Consider the following 18,969-nt stretch of genomic DNA (forward strand, 5'->3'; position numbering starts at 1 on the left):
AAGTCTACTTAGAATGTAATAATATTGCTTTGCCTTATTGCATTTAGCTTTACCTTCTCTTTAGTGCAAGAGATAGTGATTTTTTTCCATTTACAGTTGTCATGCAGATTTAAATTTAAATTTTCATACATAGATTTTTAAAAATATTCAATCATCAACAGTACAAGTAGCACACCAGTATTGCAAAACATTGCACAGGTTGATTGCAAATACCAAGAGCTTGGGAAATAACTGAACTACTTCATGCTGCCTATTCCCATCATTTTAGGAGTTTGAAAAAGGAGAGAGAGAGGGACACTCTTAACTTTCGTTAAACCTTTATTGTGTCTTGGTAATTTCCCTGTGCAGTCTCCCTGAATTCTCACAGTTGTTCTGTGAGCATTCATACACCCAGTTTACAAATTTGGTAATTGAGGTACTGCATAATGATGTAGCCTAAGGGCACCCAACTAGTAAATGGTGAACTTGGGATTTGAACTCAAAGTCCTGCATCTCCAAAGACTCAGCTAGTTTTAGACCATGCCATCCGAAAGGAGATAGCTAACTGGTTTGCTTTTTTGCAATTCTATACAAGTGTTAAGTTACTAGCATGTGGTAAAACCAAGAGAAGTTCAATGAAGGGGAAATTCCTGTGGGCCAGAGTTGAAAAGCATATGTGGCTGATACGGGCTTTGCAGAACATGTTAGGCCCTGGAAGCAGGTGCAAGTGCATTTCAGATGGAGCAGTTGGGATGGTCTTCATACCACTAAGGCCAGTTTCTGAAACCCAGCACCTCATAGCCCCACTGCTTTATCTCTGACTCCTCCTTTTTTTTTCTGTAAATACCCAGGAAGGAGCAACATTTTAAGCTTCTATCAACAATTCACACCTTACTATGAATTAATTTTTAACACTTTGCTGAAAGCAAGTTGGAATAATGGAAAGCATTCCAAGATCCAAGAGGTTACCAAAGCACAAACATCACCAAATAGACAGTGTGGATGCAACAAAGTTGATTCTCAAATTTATCCCCATTTTTATAATTGCCAACTCTATTCCTTCATAGCTATGTAAAGGGCTTTTCACCATAGTAGCCCAAATATCAATGGTACTCTCCAAAAAAGATTGAGGTGGTTGTCTGACTCATATCTCCCCTACTACATTTCTCCCTGAGATAATATTAGAAAAGAGTCTAGAGACGTATTAGGACCTTATGAAACACATGGCTAAGACTTCTGACCACGTTTTCCAGCTTGTGTGCATATAAAATTCTGGTCAGGGAAACAACCACCATCATGGGCCTCCTCTGGCCACAGCTTCATGTTTATTATTAGGAGATTGCTTACAGCCCCTAGGGAGGTCACAGTGTTGACATGCTTCCCATCCTTTCTCCTCTTTAGCTGGTCAGATAAGGCATTTAAACCTGACACCTCAGATCCTTTCAACGCCAAAACCAGATGTGCTCAGCTGGAAAGAGGAAAGGGTTCCTCTGTGTTCAACAAAATCCAAGCTCTCTGCAGTGAAGAGGGCCAAACTGACAAGCAGGCCAAGGGTTAGTCTTTTCTGTCCCCTCCCTGGTCTCTGCTTCCTTACTCTTCTCATATTGGCCACAGCCTTCCACCTAGAAGGAGGACCATGTTTTACCACATCTGCAAGACTTAGTTGTGCATAACACCAATGTAATATTTTATATTAGAGATATTTATTCAATATGCTTCCTCCTCTATGCCACTGTGGCCTCTAACTGCATCCAAACTCTCATCACCACTGCCTTAGATTATGAAATAATTTCCTAACTGATCTCTCCACCTCAAAGATAATGCTCTGCATTCTAAAATGATTATCAAAATAATGGCTGTCATGAAGATAGTGCCTAGCACCGCTTGAAGGCTGCTGCCAATGTGCTTCCTGTGAGCTCTTCCCATGCATAGTTTCTGCAGCCTTCTCCATCCCCACTTCCACAACATGCCCTTCACTGTAGCTGCCATGAGCTGCTTCCAGTTCCCCCAGATGCCTTACAGTCTACCTCTGTGAGCTCCAGCAGGTCACTGTCTCCACTGGTTGTAAAATGAGGAGACTATAACATCTAATGTTTATTAGTCCTGTGGGTTTAAGATTGCTGAAAGCGTTCTTTCCTTCTCTTCCTTTGAGAGCTCTGTGTGTTCCGTAGATGACAAGGGGGAAACTGAGTCAGATATTTTTCCTGTCAACTACTTTAGCCAGCTCCTGGCACATCATTTCTCTAATATGACTTGGATTCTTACCATTCACTGTGATGTCTCCAGCCCCGGACACACTTAGTTTAAAATGTATGAAGCACCACTGGGGTCCACATGGTTTTATATCTGTTCCAGTGGCCTCATGCAGCTGAGTTCTTCATCCTTTGTGTTCTTCAAGGGGAATGGAATGCTTTATGCTCTTTTCATATCTACTCACAGCATCTACCACAGAGGTAGGGAGAGGCAGGAGGGAAGTAACATTTATAACAACACCATTAGGAGAATGGACTCTGTAGCTTGAGAACGTCAGTTCTAATCCTAGCCCTGCCATTTACTAGCTATGTGACCTTGGAAAAGTTAAGCTCTCGGGCTTCAATTTTCTTATCTGTATAATAGGAAAAAATGAGCTCTTCCTTAGGTTACTATGAAGATTATATTAGTTAATACAAGTAAAGTACTTAAAGCAGTGCCCAAAACATAGTTAAGTGTTATAGACATGTTTGCTGTTACTACTTATTAAGAACTTATTCCATTCCAGGAATTATGCTAGAAACATTAGATAAAAATACAAATAATAATAGATACTAGTTATTAAGCACTTGTTAAATACTTTCATTCTTTATTGATGATTCTCAATTCCTGACAGCAGTGTGTCTCGTTTTATAGAAGACAAAACTGAGGCTGTGAGTGTTTTGGTACCTTGTTCAAATATGAGAATTAGTATATTTTTAAGGCCAAAAATGAGACCCAGGTCCCTCTGAGTCAAAAGCTCATATTGTTTCTATCACAGCATGACTAGCCCTCGTCCGTTTGTTTTCAGGCTTTGTTTTTTCTGCTGAGACAGGCATAGAGGCTGGAGCTCACAGTCTGACATTCTCCCCTGTGCTGTGGAGCCAGGCAGATAATATTATGTGTGGGTTATGCCCAGTTTCCCATCCTCCCACCTCATATTCTGGAGAAGTAATGACATCTCTTTTCCTCCTGCTCAAGAAGGCATTCTGTAGGGTAAGTGAGAGAGGTATTTGTATAGGGATAACCATGACACATTTTATTTAATGAAAGCCTCCCACCTGTCTCCCTGTTCAAGGATCACCTTCTTCAGAAAACCTTAAAAACAGTGATTTGCCTCAGGTGCACTCCACAGTTTGCTGCTCAGAGGTGTCCCTCACTGCTCCCCACCACTGCCAGCCACTGCTCCTGTGGAAGTTGGCTACCCCGAAACTCCTGGTCTATACTCCCCCTTGACAGGGTGCTGTTCCATCTTTCTAGGTAGCAGTGGCTGAGGGTGGACAAGACACTCTTTTTTGTGTAGCCTATTACTTCTCTTCTCCACCATACCATCCCAAAAGGCCTTACTGGAGGTTGAATATAACCAAATTAATTATGATTTCAAAAAATGCTTTATATAATGGTCCATTATAATCCAAGACAAGATTACAATTAAACCCTTTCACAGGAGTGTCTCTATCAGACGCACCCAATTTCTTGCTTAATCCTGCCATCCGCAAGTCTCCACTCCTTCCCCTGATGACCTCCCTTTTATAGATTGTCCTACAATGTGAATCCTTATTCTTCACGGAAACATTGTGGCCTCAAACATTTAATCAGTGTTGACATCTGTTTCCACAGGTTATTTCTGGACACAGTAATCCTTCAGCAATACAATTACCAAGTTATTCAACATGGAAGGCTTTGCCAAGACAGTGGTGGCTGGGATTTGACCCTCTAAGTGTGAGGTTAGTATTGATCTCCAAGCTCCGTCTCCACACATATCTCACCAACCATTCCCCAATACAAGTGAAAATCCTGAGTAAAATACAAACACTTACACCTTCAAATGAATGCACTGATGCTCAGAAACACAACAGCCAAAATCTGTATTAAAGAAGAGAAATACTTTCCTAGTTGCAACAAAATCTACACTGCTATCCTCTACAATAAAGGGTAGCACTGAACCTTGCTAAGCAGAGTAGTGTTGGTTCTTCTATATTTACTCAGTGCTGCTATCAGTTAGGGTAATTTGGTCCAGGTAATTTAAAAAAACCTAAATCCAGTAATCTTAAACAATGAAGTCAGTTTTTATAACCCAAACCTCAAAAAGTACAAGGGACTTCACCAGAGTTTGATATAGTGCTTCAACAATACCACCAAACAACCAGTAAGCCTGTCTCTATCCATCTTTCTCTTCTGCTGTATTAATTTCCCGTCACTACTATAACAAATGACCATAAACTTAGTGGCTTAAAACAACAGAAATGTGTTATCTTACAGTTCTAGAAATCAAAATCCCGAAGTCAATGTCTGGGCAGAGCTGTGCTCCTTCTGGAGCTCTAGAGAGGACACTGCTTCCTGCCTTTTCTAGGTTTTAGAGGCTGCCATCTTCAAAGTGAGCAGCACAGCACCTTCCAATTTCTCTTTCTCTCTGCTGCCTTTGCCACTTCCCCTTTTCTCTCCTTGATATTCTTTCCTCTCTTTTTTATAAAAACTCTTGAAATTACACTGAGCTTATTCCAATAAACCAAGATGATCTATCCATCTCAAGATCCTTGACTTAATCATATCTTCACCGTCCCTTTTGCCATATAAGGTAACATTCACAAGGATTAGGACTTTGGCATCTCTTTGTGTGTGTGGTTGGGGTAGGCATTGTTCTTTCTACGTCTGCTTTCCACTGTGTTAATGTCATCTGGAAACAGTAGTACTTGTATTCATAAAAAGACTGTCAGCAGCTCAAGGGGCTACGTGCTTCTCAGTCCCTTTGGCGTGAAGAACAGAGACTCTTATGGTCTCTCACAGGACACCAAGGAAGCTTCTTGCCCAGGATCATCCTCATTTCTATCATTTTCATGGTCAGAGTTTAGTCTCACACCCTTCCCTGAATCAATTATCATGGCCTCAGGGTTAGACTTTGCAGATCAATGTAAGCCAGGAGCTGAAGCTTAGGGTGGGCTCAGCTCCCATGGATGGAAATGTGGGAGGGGTGGTTCTCTAAAGGAAACTCAGAGTCCTGTGCCATGAAGCAGGAGAGGATAGACACCGGTTGCCAACAGCAGCGACAAAACCCACCGCATGCCAACACTACTATCAGAATATGATCAGTAGGTCCATTAGAAATGGGATACTGCCACAGTTGCCTATCCTTTAATGACCCCTTCTTACTCTTACAAACATCTGGCAGAAGCTTTACTTTTGGGGTCAACTCTGAGTCTTGGATGGCACTGGAAGGCAGGTTCGATGAGGATCTAAATTCCTAATACTTAACTAACACACTAAGGTGGAAGATTAGTGATTTCTCTTCTAGTAACATTACTTTAAAAAATATGCACACTCATTTGTATTTAAACATCAGTAACAAATCCCTGTGGCACACCTCTGAAGGGACTGAATCATACCAGTGCACGGCAACATAGGGGCTGAGATCTGATTTCCCAGACATGAGGTAGGGATCTATGCATTGCTTTGTTCTTCAGCTCTTGCTTTCTTTTCTGTGTTTGCATGGCCTTCTGGAAAGCTGAAATTATTTTCTGTTTTTCTTTGTCTTTCTTACTTAAGTTTTATTCTAGTGCACTTTTGGAAAGCTGGCTTTTGTGTGCACGTGTGCTTTTATATATCCTCCATGGAAACAATTATATGGGTAGGATGGAACTTTACTTGAACAAGTTTCCCTAGCCATAGGCCTCCTAATCTAAGAGTTAGAGACCTTTTACTCCTTATCTTTGTAAGCAAAAAATATGGTTATCTTCATGCTTTTACCTTAGAGTTAATGTTTTGAAGACCTGCTAACTGAAAACAATGTCGCAGATTTATCTTGGAAAATGTTAAAACAGAATTTTCCCCTCACTGTCATCCTATATAGCAAACCTCAGGTAGGTGTGTATGAAACTTTTCCCTTTTGAGTTACATGTCCAAACTTGTGAGTGTTTTTCTTATTTTTACTTTCTAAAATTAGAGAATGCCTGAGTTTGCAAGAGGCGTAAGAGCTATCTAGTCAAGTCTTTGTCAAATGCACAAGCAACATCCTCTAGTGTTAGAGAACTTACCACTCCACAGTCAGTATATTCTATTTTTGGACTGTACGTAACACTTTAATAGTTCTTTGTTTGTAGTGATAAGACTACTTTCTTAGAACTTCTATTCCTTAATCTTATTTCTCACCTTGAAACAACATCATAGAGATCTACTTAATCGAACCATAATCATTTATTTCCAAAGGTGTGAGACACTGTTTCTACTTGACTCATTAGAATAACTTACATCTAGACAGTGACTTCTAGGTATCTAGAGCCATCATGTGCATTAACTCAGCTAATTCTCAAAGTCTTGTGGGGTAAGTATGGTTGTTTCCATCATACAGATGAGTGAACGAGTTCAGATGAGTTCCTGATTCCATTTACATGTGTTTAATGTTAATGCATTGTGCGTGATCTTTGACCTGCATGAAGATTACAATTTAGTCAAAATTTAAAGAAATATATGTCTATATTCTCAGGGAAGTGATAGGTTTAAAAAAAAGAATAATGTTCTTTAAGATAATTTCTATGGTTTGGGGGCTATGGCTACAGACTGATTTAAATTTAAATCAATGAAATTTAATTTGAGAGAGGACTATCCCTGAGCACTCAGGGAAGCCATAGGAAAAAAGAGTTGAAGTCTTACCTGGAGAGATGGTCCAGCAAATAGGAAGACTTAAGGTGCTGAAGAGTTTGGCATGGTGAAGGAGCTTCCGGATGACCAAAGTGCTAGAACCCAATGAGAACATGGGAAAGCTAGACAAGCAGAGACTGGAGAGGCAGGCATGCAGGATATCATAGGGAATTGAAAATAAGTTATTTCCTTAACACTCATGGAAAAGAGTTGTAGAGTTTTAAGCAGAGAAGTGACAATATCTGATTAAAATTTTTAAAAGATCACTCTTGCTACAGTCTAGAGAATGGAATAGAGTGCAAAACTGGCGGAATGACTGGAAGGAGACCAGTGAAGGGGCTATCACAGCAGTTCAGGAAAGAGATCATGGTGGATTGAATTAGAGTGGCTATGGAAATGGTGAAATGTTGATTGTCCCAGTATTTCAGATGAGCACCAGTGAAACATATTTGAAAATAAGGCCTTACGTTATCAAAAATTATTGTGATTGGAGGATATAACATGAGATTTGGAGTCAATGACCAGAACTACCACTTACTAGCTATATCATCTGGGATAAGATACATTATCACCTGGGCCTCAGTTTTGTCATCTATAGAGGAGATATGACCATTATGTCGTTGCTCATAGCATTTTGCCATGTCTTAAAAATGGGGGTCAAAATAACCATCATGTCTTCTTCACACACTTGTTTTGTGAATCCATAAAATTTCAGATGTAATATTGGTACTATGTGGACCATTTCCATTGATCGGATACACAGTCCCATATAAGTAGTTAGATAAGGCTTGGGGATTTTGCTGAAAGATCTAAAGTTTTAGATTCAAGCAGGGTTTAAATCCTGAATTTACCATCTTTTAGCTTTGTTTCTTCAGACAAGTTATCTAAGTTCTCTAGACTCATTTCCATCACATGTATGAAAATACTTGAATTATGGAGTTTTAAAAAGACCGTCAATATTTTAACTTAACCTAAGACCTGGTTTTTTTCTAACCCTCTTTTTGAACAATTCTTCCTTCTGATCAATAATCTCTTTTTAAATCTAATAAAGAGATCTAGGGGGTATGTTTTCAGCAATTTTTATGAAAGACATTTATTAGGCCATAAAAAACAATGTTAACAGTTTTACCCACTTGTTGGGACATGAAGTTCTACGATTTCTTTTTATGGGTCAGCTTGTTTTTCTTCATTTTTTCCCCTCTCCTGCACTCAAAGTCAGCCCAAATATGGTAACAGTAAATCATTCAGACTGGGTTAATATATGCCGTTACAGGTTTAGATACCTCTCTGTCTCCTTGCTCATCTCTGAGACAGAAAGGGAATTAGTCAGACCGTCCTTAGAATCATTGCCTTGCACATTAAACCCTTGAGGACAGTGTAATGCGATCCCTATTTTCCTTACCTTTCAGATCTCTAGCTCCAGAGAAACCACAGCTCTGCTGGTTTTTGTGGTACAAACCACAAAGATGTTTTTTAACTTTGCTTAACTTTCCTTCCATCTGTTCTTTCCTCAAAAATGCACTTGCTGCTTTCCCTTCTCTTTTCATTGAAAGCCAAATTCCGTAGGTTTTGTTTCTTCCCCTTTTCAATCTGGCCTGATGCCTCTGCTTGTCGTCTTGACCTGTCTTTATGGACTTCTCTTGGTGAACTCAGGACCATAATTATTCCAAGGTCTCTCTGCTTTTTATAATTTCAGGTATGGATTATGTGGTGGACTCTCAAATGGTAAAAGCTTGATTTTAAAAATCAGCTTTGAAAATATTCCTTCTTCAGGTAAATTTCACAAAATGCCCAAGAAACAAGATTTCAGTTGCTTCCCACTTTCTCCTCCATGTCGGCACAGCCAGTGACCTACCTAAAGCATGAGGGATTATATTCGATCGTATTCAGAATAGTTCCTTTAAAAGAGACAATTTTAACTGCTCCGTATTTTCTGGATATCACAATCTTGAGTACGAAAGTTGGTTGGATCCAAATCTAGTGAAATTCCAAAGTGTAGGTATCTCAACTATAGAAGCAGCATGATATAGTTCAGTGGCTCCACAGCTATGGAGCATTTGATGTCAGTAGCATGAAAAATGGTTTAAGGTGGTTCACAGCAGTAAACAACAATGAAATGGACTATGAGAAAATTATTTTCTTTTCTGTTCAGTAGAATAACTACCAGGAATTATCCCTCAGTATGGTACTATTCTTGAATACTTCCCTGGCATTTCCTAACCCCTCTTTTGAACAGATAAAGAACAGGCATCAAACTGAAATCCTCAGCAGAAAACAACAATGTGTAGCTAGAATTTAGTGATGTTGCTTGGTTTAATTATAATTTTTATGGTTACATTTTTCCTTTTATGGTTGGTTGCCTTTGTGGGTACAGATTTCTACTCATAAGGTTGATATAAAACATCCTTATAAAGTATACTTAATGTGAGTAAAAAATAAGATAAACAAATTTAAAGAATAATATTAAGAAAATACTGATAGGAGTGTTACACATCTGTGTAGTAGAAATCATGAAAGTGATAACACAAATGAGTGTAATTGAAAAATATCATATTTGAATGAGTATAAATCTTGGAAGGTGACCAGGGACCTAATTTTAAACTGCACTTCTTCTTACTTATTACCTGATGATTTGTAAATAATGTACTAATTTACTTTGAGCCTTAGTTTCCTCTTCTTTAGAATAGAGGGAAAGGTGTATTACATAGGATCATAAAAAATAAAGTAATATAATAATTATCTAGCATAGTACCAGATATGGTGTAGATAGATACTCAATAACTGGTAGCTTTCTTTTTTTTTTTTTTTTTTTTTTTTGAGATGGAGTCTTGCTCTATCACCAGGCTGGAGTGCAGTGCTGCCATCTTGGATCACTGCAACCTCCGCCTCCCGGGTTCAAGCAATTCTCTTGCCTCAGCCTACCGAGTAGCTGGGACTACAGGTGCCCACCACCACATCCAGCTAATTTTTGTATTTTTAGTAGAGACGGGGTTTCACCATGTTAACCAGGGTGGTCTCGATCTCCTGACCTTGTGATCCACCAGCCTTGGCCTCCCAAAGTGCTGGGATTACAGGTGTGAGCCACTGTGCCCAGCCAATAACTGGTAGCTTTCTTTGCCCTCTTATCATTTCACTCCTATAACTTAAAAAGAACGTAATGTATTGGCTAAGGATAACTGAACTATGTACCCTTTCCTGGACAGTTAATATATATTTTAATGAGTTACAAAATATATAGCTGTCATTGCCATGTAGACCTGCTACTCATTACCAATTACATCTCCAAAAAGCACAGGAGCAACTCTTATGTGAGAGTCACTGACAAAAAGTCTGTGTTAATATTTCCTGATTGAGTCAGTCAGTATGACCCACCTCCCCTGTTAAAGTGCTTGCTTCTGGAACACTTCCTTTTATCTCCAAAACGTGCTTCTGGAGCACTTTTTATCTCTCTCTTCCCCTTTTCCTCTACAACCCTAGATACAATCTGTCATCAAGTTATGTATCAATAGCCTCCTTAATGTCAATCACACTTTCCTCTTATGCACTGTTTCCTCCCTGATCCGTGTCTTGCCCATGATGGTAATCTGAAAGGTCTACCATGTCGCTCATGGTCTCGCCACATCACCCCACCAGCTCTGCTCCAGGGCCTTGCAGTCCTTCAAGTGGCCCATATAGGTTGTTCCTTGCCTTCTCCTCAAGCCTTGTGATACCCATTTTCCCCTCCTTTTTTATTGTTTCTTCTTTACACACACGATTCTTCCTTCCTGGCAAGCTCAATGTGCTTCCCCTCCCACAGCCCGTTTCCTTCTAGTTTCTAGCCACCCTCCAAAACTCAGGTCAGTGGTTTCTTCCTCTGGATAATTTTCCCTGACCCTTGTCCAAAACCTTCGATTAGGCCAAACTTCTTGGCTATGCATTTCCTTTCTTCACAGCATTTATGTGTGGTCAACTTTACCAGACAGTGGTCTTTGAGAGAGCACGCATGCCTCGTGTTGCTAAGCATTTGTCCCCAGCACCTAATACAGCGACTAACACATAGTAACACTCAGTAAATATTTGTTGAATGAATGAATAAGTAACTTCCACTGGCACTTACCAGCCTGGACACTCCTTATTCTTGTCGTATTTAGAAATCTCAATGTGATGATAGTGGTTCCCGGTGTAATTTCTGACCTACAGAGAAGAGCCACTACACAATGCTGGGGTTCATTTATTCCTCAAAATCATGGTGAAGGCCATGATGTATCAAAATAAATTAGTTGTCCTCACTACATCAGAGTCTTGTTTGCTTATTGTTTTAATTTTTAAAAATTTTATTGTAGAAAAGACACATAATATAAAATGATAAAATGTACCACTAGTGACATTTAGCACATTTACAATATTATACAACTGTCACCACTATCTAGTTCCAGAAAATTTTCATCACCCCAAAAGGAAAACTCATACCCATTAAGCAGTCACTCCTTATTCCCCACTACTGTCAGCCCCTGGCAACCACTATTCTGTCTTCTGTTTCTTCAGATTCTCTGACTCTGGACATTTCATATAAATGGAATCATCACATTGTTTAGTAGCTGCTAATGTGAGTGTCTGTCTCCCAATCTAGACTTGCCTTTGTTATTTCTTAACCCATCATTAAGCCCAGTGTCTTGCATGTAGAAAATAGGTATGGAATAAATGCTTCTAGAGAAAGAAAAGAACTATTTTCTTTTCAATCATCTGTCATATGAAACACATGCATAAAATATATTTTTAGTTCTGAAGGCAAGGATTTTGCCATATTGTTTCTAGTAGGAAATTAAACTGAAGAAGTGGAGTACACCCAATCTATTAGTTTTTATTATCATATTTATACCAAACTTATTTCCAAAACTACCTTGAAACTAAAAGACCATATGATTCTGGAAAATATAGTAAGGTATTAATACAGAAATAGAGTTTCAGAAGACATAAAGGAAAAGGGAAAACAAATATATTAACCACTTAAGCTAATAGATAATTACCACAATTAAGGATGTCTCTGAATTTCCTGCAAAGCCAAAGTAAGAAAAAAGTATCTTATTATTGTTATATTATATTAAAAAGTAATCACTTATATTTTAAAAAGTGATATTTTTTCTTTACTAATTCTAAAAAAAATCATAGTTTTTAAATTTATTTCTAAATCTTTACAAGTAATGGACTTGTGCTAGAAACTACTCTGCAGTATGAATCTAAAGATGAATCTTTTTAAATCATACTTTCCAGGGCTACAGTTATTATGTCTTGTACAAGAATGCTCATGATTATGTGTCTACCGGTGCTTTAAAATAATCGCCAAGCTTAAGGGTTCATGCATGAACCTGGTAGAGCTATTTACTCAGCTATTAAATTTCTGTTCTATGAAGCTTGTCAATCAAGCCACAATTCAAAATAATTTAAGAGCAGCAAGTTTGTTGAGCCAAGCAATTCTGAAAACACCCACCTTCAATTATAGCAGTGGGTGTAGTTTGGACATGGGTTTCCATGAAGGCTGGTCTGAACCACAGGTCAAGCAGGATGACCTGTGACCATTTATATAAAGGCACCATGATCATTTTTCATTATTTCACACCACCTGGCAGAGACTGAGTCCAAAATAGCCCACCTGTTAGACATTATATTTTGATCAAAAATCAGATCACATAAAGTAGTGCTTGATTTAAAAATTTACCCAGGAGCCTGCAAAAATGGAATATAGTTAAAGCTGTTTTCTGTGTTTGCAAAACACAGGCCTTTCCTTTTCTGTAGCTTGGCAGAATAAAAACTTAATGGAAGGTTCTCATGGGAAACTTTCAGATTTGCTAAGCAATTGATGTAGCTAAAAGCATGCTGAGTCAATTGAGAGGAGCCCAAACTCTGTCTAAATTAGAGTTTCTGGTATACTTAGGAACAATTGCAAGGTTATTTTGGGGAAGCTGGTCTGTGAGTTTTCCTGACATTCCTTTTTTTTTTTTTTTTTTTTTTCCTGGTCAGCACATCACTTCAGCCCCAGGGTTGGATTAATTAAGGCCTGCATGCACACTCCTCCTCCCATCCTGAGAATGATGGTAAAGGTCACAGCTACTAAAACCACAAAGGCCTCAATGACATCCTATTTCAGTGTTAGAATTCCAAGAAGGCTTTTGTTAAAATAAACATCAAGAGATTTTAAATAAACTACACTGATTATTAACTGGCATGCTTTCTTTTTTTCCCCTCAAATGTGATCCATTGAAATCCAATTTATGTGCATTCATTTACTCAACAAGCATTTATGGAATACCTACTAAGCGGCAGGTACTATATTTGGGATGGGGAATGCAATGATAAAAATCTTACAAGGGCATTTGGGAGGCCGAGGCAGGCGGATCACCTGAGCTCAGAAGTTCAAGACCAGCCTGACCAACATGGAGAAACCCCATCTCTACTAAAAATACAAAAAAATTTAGGCAGGCGTGGTGGCGTATACCTGTAATCCCAGCTACTCAGGAGGCTGAGGCAGAAGAATCGCTTGAACCCAGGAGGCAGAGGTTGCAGTGAGCCGAGATTGCGCCATTGCACTCCAGCCTGGGCAACAGGAGAGAAACTCCATCTCGAAAAAAAAAAAAAATTCTTACAAGGGCATTTAAGAAGCTTACATTCGAGAGTAGTCATGCATTCATTTATTCATTCAAAATATATTATATTTACTGAGTGTCTACTATGTTGCAGTCATTACCCAGATAATTAGAATACATTAATAAGAGTAGTCAAGAAGGTACAATCTGAGCACAGACTTGAAGGAGGTAGGGGAGTGGGCCATTCTGACAATGAACAAAGAGCATTTGGGGCAGCAGTAACGGCTCATGCAAAGGCCTTACGATGGATGGAAACATGCCTGCTAGATGGGGCACAGCAGGGAGACCAGTGTGGTGGAGTAGAGTGAGCAAGAGTGGTAGAAAGTGGTAGGAAGAGTGGTAAGAAATGGGATTGGAAAGCAAGCGGTAATCCCAGCACTTTGGGAGGCCGAGGCGGGCGGATCACGAGGTCAGGAGATCAAGATCATCCTGGCTAACATGGTGAAACCCTGTCTCTACTAAAAATACAAAAAAAATTAGCCAGGCGTGGTGGCGGGCACCTGTAGTCCCAGCTACTCGGGAGGCTGAGGCAGGAGAATGGTGTGAACCCGGGAGGCGGAGCTTGCAGTGAGCCGAGATCGCATCACTGCACTCCAGGCTGGGCGACAGAGTGAGACTCCGTCTCAAAAAACAAAAACAAAAAAAAAAAAAAAAAAAAAGAAGAAAGCAAGTGGGACAGAGCAGGAGCCTGAAAGGGGAGGTTGTAGTTATATAAAGCCTGTAAGCCATTGGAAGGACTTGAGCTTTTGTCCTGCATGAAACAAAAACCAAAGCTGAGTTTTAATCTGATTTCTACTTTTAAAGGATAAATCTAGCTTCCATGCTGGGAGTAGATAGACTTTAGAGGTGATCAAGGATCAACGCACAGAGAACAATTAGGAAGCTACTAGAGAAATCTTGGCTGGGGGTTAGGGTGGCTTGGACTAGGATGGTGGCAGTGGAGATGGTGAAAAATAATCATGTTCTGTAAATCTTTTGAAGGTAGAGCTAATAAATTTCCTGATGGATTCAATGTGAGATGGGAAGTAAAGACAGATACCTTGATTCATTCACACATTCTTTCATTCCTTGACTCATTTCTTCACTCATCTATTAATCTACTCAACAGAAAGCAACTCAACCTTTTGTGCCAAGCATTATATTAGACAGTGATGATGTGGAGAAAAGGCAGAATTCTCTCAAAGAGTTACTACTTTAATGGAGACTACAGGCTTATAAACAAAATGTGCTATAAGGGACATATGGAACAAAGAAAGAACAATCATTTTTGCTTAAAAGAATCAATGAATTAGGCACAGAGAAAGAGATACTTGAATTATGTCTTAAAGGAGGAATGGGCATTTGTCAGTTGATTAAATCAGAGAAGGGCATGCCAGTCAAAGAAAGAGTAGACAAAGAGGCAGGAGACAGTTTCACAAATTTGAGAAACTACATATATTTTTGAGTTCTAGTACACATTGCGCAAAGGTGGGAATAGTGAGAAAAAGGCTGGAGAGGGATATGGGGTGAGATTTCAGATAATATTTGACCTCAGGCTAAACATGGTGGCTATTATCTTTTCGTGATGAGATGTTATAGAAAAGGTTTAAGTAGTGGAGTGACGTGGCCAGATTTATGTTTTAGGAAAATCACTAGTTCAGTAGGACTAATGCACTGGAAATACGTGTCAAGTTATTGACAGCATAAAAGGGAATGGTAATTTTGTAAGATCCAATTTGGAGAAAACTCAGGATCATAAAAACTTTTAACTTTGTCATTAAGGTAAATATCAATTAGAAATAAAAGCAAAATTATTTCATTACTGAGAGATAAAGTTGTCTTCTTTCAAAAAGCTGAGAATCACTACTTTAATCCCAGCAATGAGTCAAAATTTTTTTTAACATTTATAACATGCAAGGCTGCATTGTCAGTGACTCTGTAAGATACAACAGTGAGTAACATGTTCCCTTTCTCCAAGAGCAGGCAAGTCTAGAAACAGGTTCTGGAAGCTGACAGGTCTGGGTATAAGTCTTAGGTCTCTTCCTTCTGAACAGTGCTAATCTTTTAAATATGGCTCTCGACCACCTTAGTGATTTGATAAAACACACATACAAGTCCCAGTTGAAACTTACTAGATCAGAATCTCTGTCTGCAGAACCATAGAGACCATTTATCAAGTGCTCTAACTTATGGTTGTGCACAGTAAAATAGCTGTACAACCTTGTGTAGTTTACTTCCCTGAGCTGCAGTTTCCTCATCCACATAATGAGCATGACAATACGGCCTGCCTCTTAAGGTTGTGGGGAGGATTAAATGAGGCAACTTTTAGTAAGGCTTAGCACAGGGCCTGGAAATTACCAGGTACCCAATAAATAATAACTGTAATCAAGGAACCAAAATATAAGGCTGATTATGGTTAGTATTGTAACAGTGTAAAAGCAACAACAAAAAATGTAATGAAACATTACATCTGAGGTGAAATAATTCAGTTCTGAAATAAAAGGGGGTTGAAGAGATGTCATAGAAAGTTCCAATCTTTGTTCATGTTCCTCTTGCCCATGACAACATCCCTCTCTACTTTCCGTACCATGGATAACTCCTAATCTGACACCAAGCCCTGATACTTCCTTCTAGCAACACCTTCAGCCAGGCTGAGCAAGGTGCACTCTTCCTGAGCTTCTGAAGCACCTGCCATCGCATCACTCTGTGCTATAGGGTCAGGATGGCACTTCTCTGCCACCTGGATATGTTCTGTGCATGTCTCTCCATCTAGACTGTATGCTTCTCTTGAGAAGGACCTATCTCATTCCTTCATCTTTACATCCCCAGAGCCCATCATACTCTTTGATACAAGCCTGGGCACTCCTTAAATATCTGTCGATTTGAACTGGGTTCAAACTTCATCACAGGCCTGTTGATTACTTAGGGATCTGAAATAAAGAGATGGATAATAGGACATTCCATAGAGGTTATAGCAATGAATGAGAAATGGGAGCGTATGTGGACAAGGTAGTGAAGAAAGACGGTATCTTGTATGTTACATGTGCTCTCAGGCTACAGGACAAGTAACAGGGTGAACTGTGAGATAAGGGTGGGCAGAAATAATGATTAAGAAGTTGTATGCTATAGACAATGATCATCTGTTGATGAGTTGGACTAAATGGTGATGTGACCAGAACCATGTTTTGAGAAAAATCCAGAGGATGGAGTCAGAGTAGAAGTAGGGAGATGAGTTGTAGACAAACCACTCAAGCAGAAATAAGAAACTCCTGTTAAAGTTTGTCAACAGCCATCATATCTGGTACAAATGAACATGGCCCTAACTCAAAGGCTGTTGCAAGAGCAATAAATGAAGACTGAGAATGTTTCTTGGCATCTCATTCATTCCATTCCATTCCATTAAGTTTTACAATTGTCACTGTTTATTGTCTTCTAAAATCAGCCCATACAGGGTGGATGAGACCATTGGAGTTCTCTCATTCTGTTAAATAATTGTTTGCCATGTAATCTTGAGGCTACATCAGAAAAGCCGGATATAATTTAGGTGTTTTTTCTTTCTTTCTTTTTTTAAAAAACAAAGACATTACTCTGTTTTTATTCATCAGAGAAAGCCCTGCTGCTATTTGTCTGTGTGAACAATTTATTGAGGCTTGGAATTCAGCACTCAGGGAATTGTTTAAATTATCTTGGGGCATCACATCCTCCCCTGGTGTCTTGCCAAAGGAAAGAATTCAAGAAATATTTGTTAAAAGAATAAGTGAATAATTCATTGCAACATTCATTGCAGTGGTATCTGCCTGGAATTTGGCTTCACACTCCTGTTTTCCACAGCTTCAGTTCTACATGTTGGAATAGATCATCTGGACCCTCTGGATTCTGGTCCTGTACTGACCTTCAAGCTGTCTCTTTCAGCTTTCTGTGCTGAGGCAGAAAAGAGGAAAGCTGGACCACACCCAGCCAGGACTACACGTGCAGGTAGTACACAGGAATTGGGAATGTGCGTTTGGGCTGGCAGTATTGCTCTGTGTGGTTGGCAGAAGGAGGCACCATTCACATTGAAAACTAGGAATACGCAGGAGCTATTGTTGGGTTACCATTCCAGAAGTAGTTTCCATCCATGGTGCTTCCTCTGTCCAGGAAACCTCCCCAAAGAGGCCTACGCCCTCCCTTACTTGCAGTACTCCATAGCAGAGCAGGAGTCTACTCAGTCCACCCTGGCGTCTGAAAATGCACATGTGCTCACACCTAAAGCACAAGAAGCACAAAAACAATCCAGTTAGAAACACTTGTCACTCATATTCTCACCATTCTGATAATAACCATTGATAATTGTAGATAAAAGTCACAAATTTACCAACTTAGTGAGAGATTATAACACACTATCAGTATTTGATAGATCAAACTAACAAAAATTAAGAAGGATAGAGAAGATGTGAACAAAATTAACAAGCTGATTTTATATACAGTGGATCCAACAATTTAAAAAATTTATTTTCTGTCCACAAGAAGCATCTAGGAAATACAGCAACCAAAAGCCATAAACCATTTCATAATAAATATCAATAAATAACAAACATTTGTACCACCTACAATGTTTTCTAATTATAATGCAGTTATATTAGAAATGAATACAAAAAGAAAATTAAGACAAACATCACATACATTAAAAATTTTTTAATTTCACCAATAGACATCAAACACATTTTTGGAAATTTCCACAGATATCAATAATAAATATTTTAGAGAGTAGAAATAGTCTTTTTATTAAAATAATTAAAATGTAAGCATATGAAAAGAAATCAGGAAATACTAATTTGTACCTCAGTGAGATTCCATCACACACCTATTAGTATGACTAAAATTAAAAAGAGTGATAATATCAAATGTTGCCAAGTAACATTTGTGAAGTTGTAAAGTAACTGAAACAGTCATATACTGCCTGTGGTCCTATAAATCAAACTATTTAAAAACTTAACATTACCTATTCAACTTGAACATAAACACATGACCAAATGATTCCATTCCTAAGCACATACAAATCTGAAATTCAGAAGTATATCAAAAAATATGTATTAGAATGTTTACAGAAACATTATTCATAATTGCCCCACAAATAATCATGTGCTCATAAACATCAAAATGGATCAATAAGTTGTGATTTATTCATATATTGGACTATTTTGTGCAATAATGGTATAAGATACCAGCAGAGTGGTTACCTTCAGAAAAGAGGAACAGTAGCCATTGGAGAGGGCATGAAAGGGCTTTTTGGGTAGAGGTACTGTTGCATTTCTTGATCAAGGTTGTATCAACATGGATATGCTTAGTTCATGATAATTAATTGAGTGTATATTTATGTTTGTGCACCTTCTTTATGCCTATTTTATATGCTCTTATAAAATATGCCCATATTAAAAATTTGAGAGTAAATTTTGAGAATAAAAATTTGAGAGTATGGCAGATCAGCCTATTGATCCTTTATTTTCATCTAGTTGAGTCTTTTTACTGCCAGTCTCTATTCCTCCAG

At 38.8% G+C, this 18,969-nt stretch overlaps 1 long non-coding RNA gene across 3 annotated transcripts in view; it reads left to right on the forward strand.

Annotated features, from left to right (window-relative positions):
• Positions 1-3,014: 3,014 nt before the first annotated feature.
• The window catches only part of LOC105378737 (uncharacterized), a 98,091-nt gene continuing 82,136 nt past the window's right edge, over positions 3,015-18,969 (forward strand). The window contains exons 1-3 of one of the 3 annotated variants that reach the window (XR_001738068.2): positions 3,015-3,204; positions 3,829-3,935; positions 17,274-17,411. This is a non-coding gene — a long non-coding RNA (uncharacterized LOC105378737). Of the gene's footprint in view, positions 3,205-3,828; positions 3,936-12,840; positions 13,092-17,273; positions 17,412-18,969 lie in introns of those variants that run through there. The other 2 variants (XR_007067030.1, XR_007067029.1) reach the window with 2 other exon arrangements.

This window comes from Homo sapiens, chromosome 1 (genome assembly GCF_000001405.40).
Source record: "Homo sapiens chromosome 1, GRCh38.p14 Primary Assembly".
Taxonomy (NCBI): domain Eukaryota; kingdom Metazoa; phylum Chordata; class Mammalia; order Primates; family Hominidae; genus Homo; species Homo sapiens.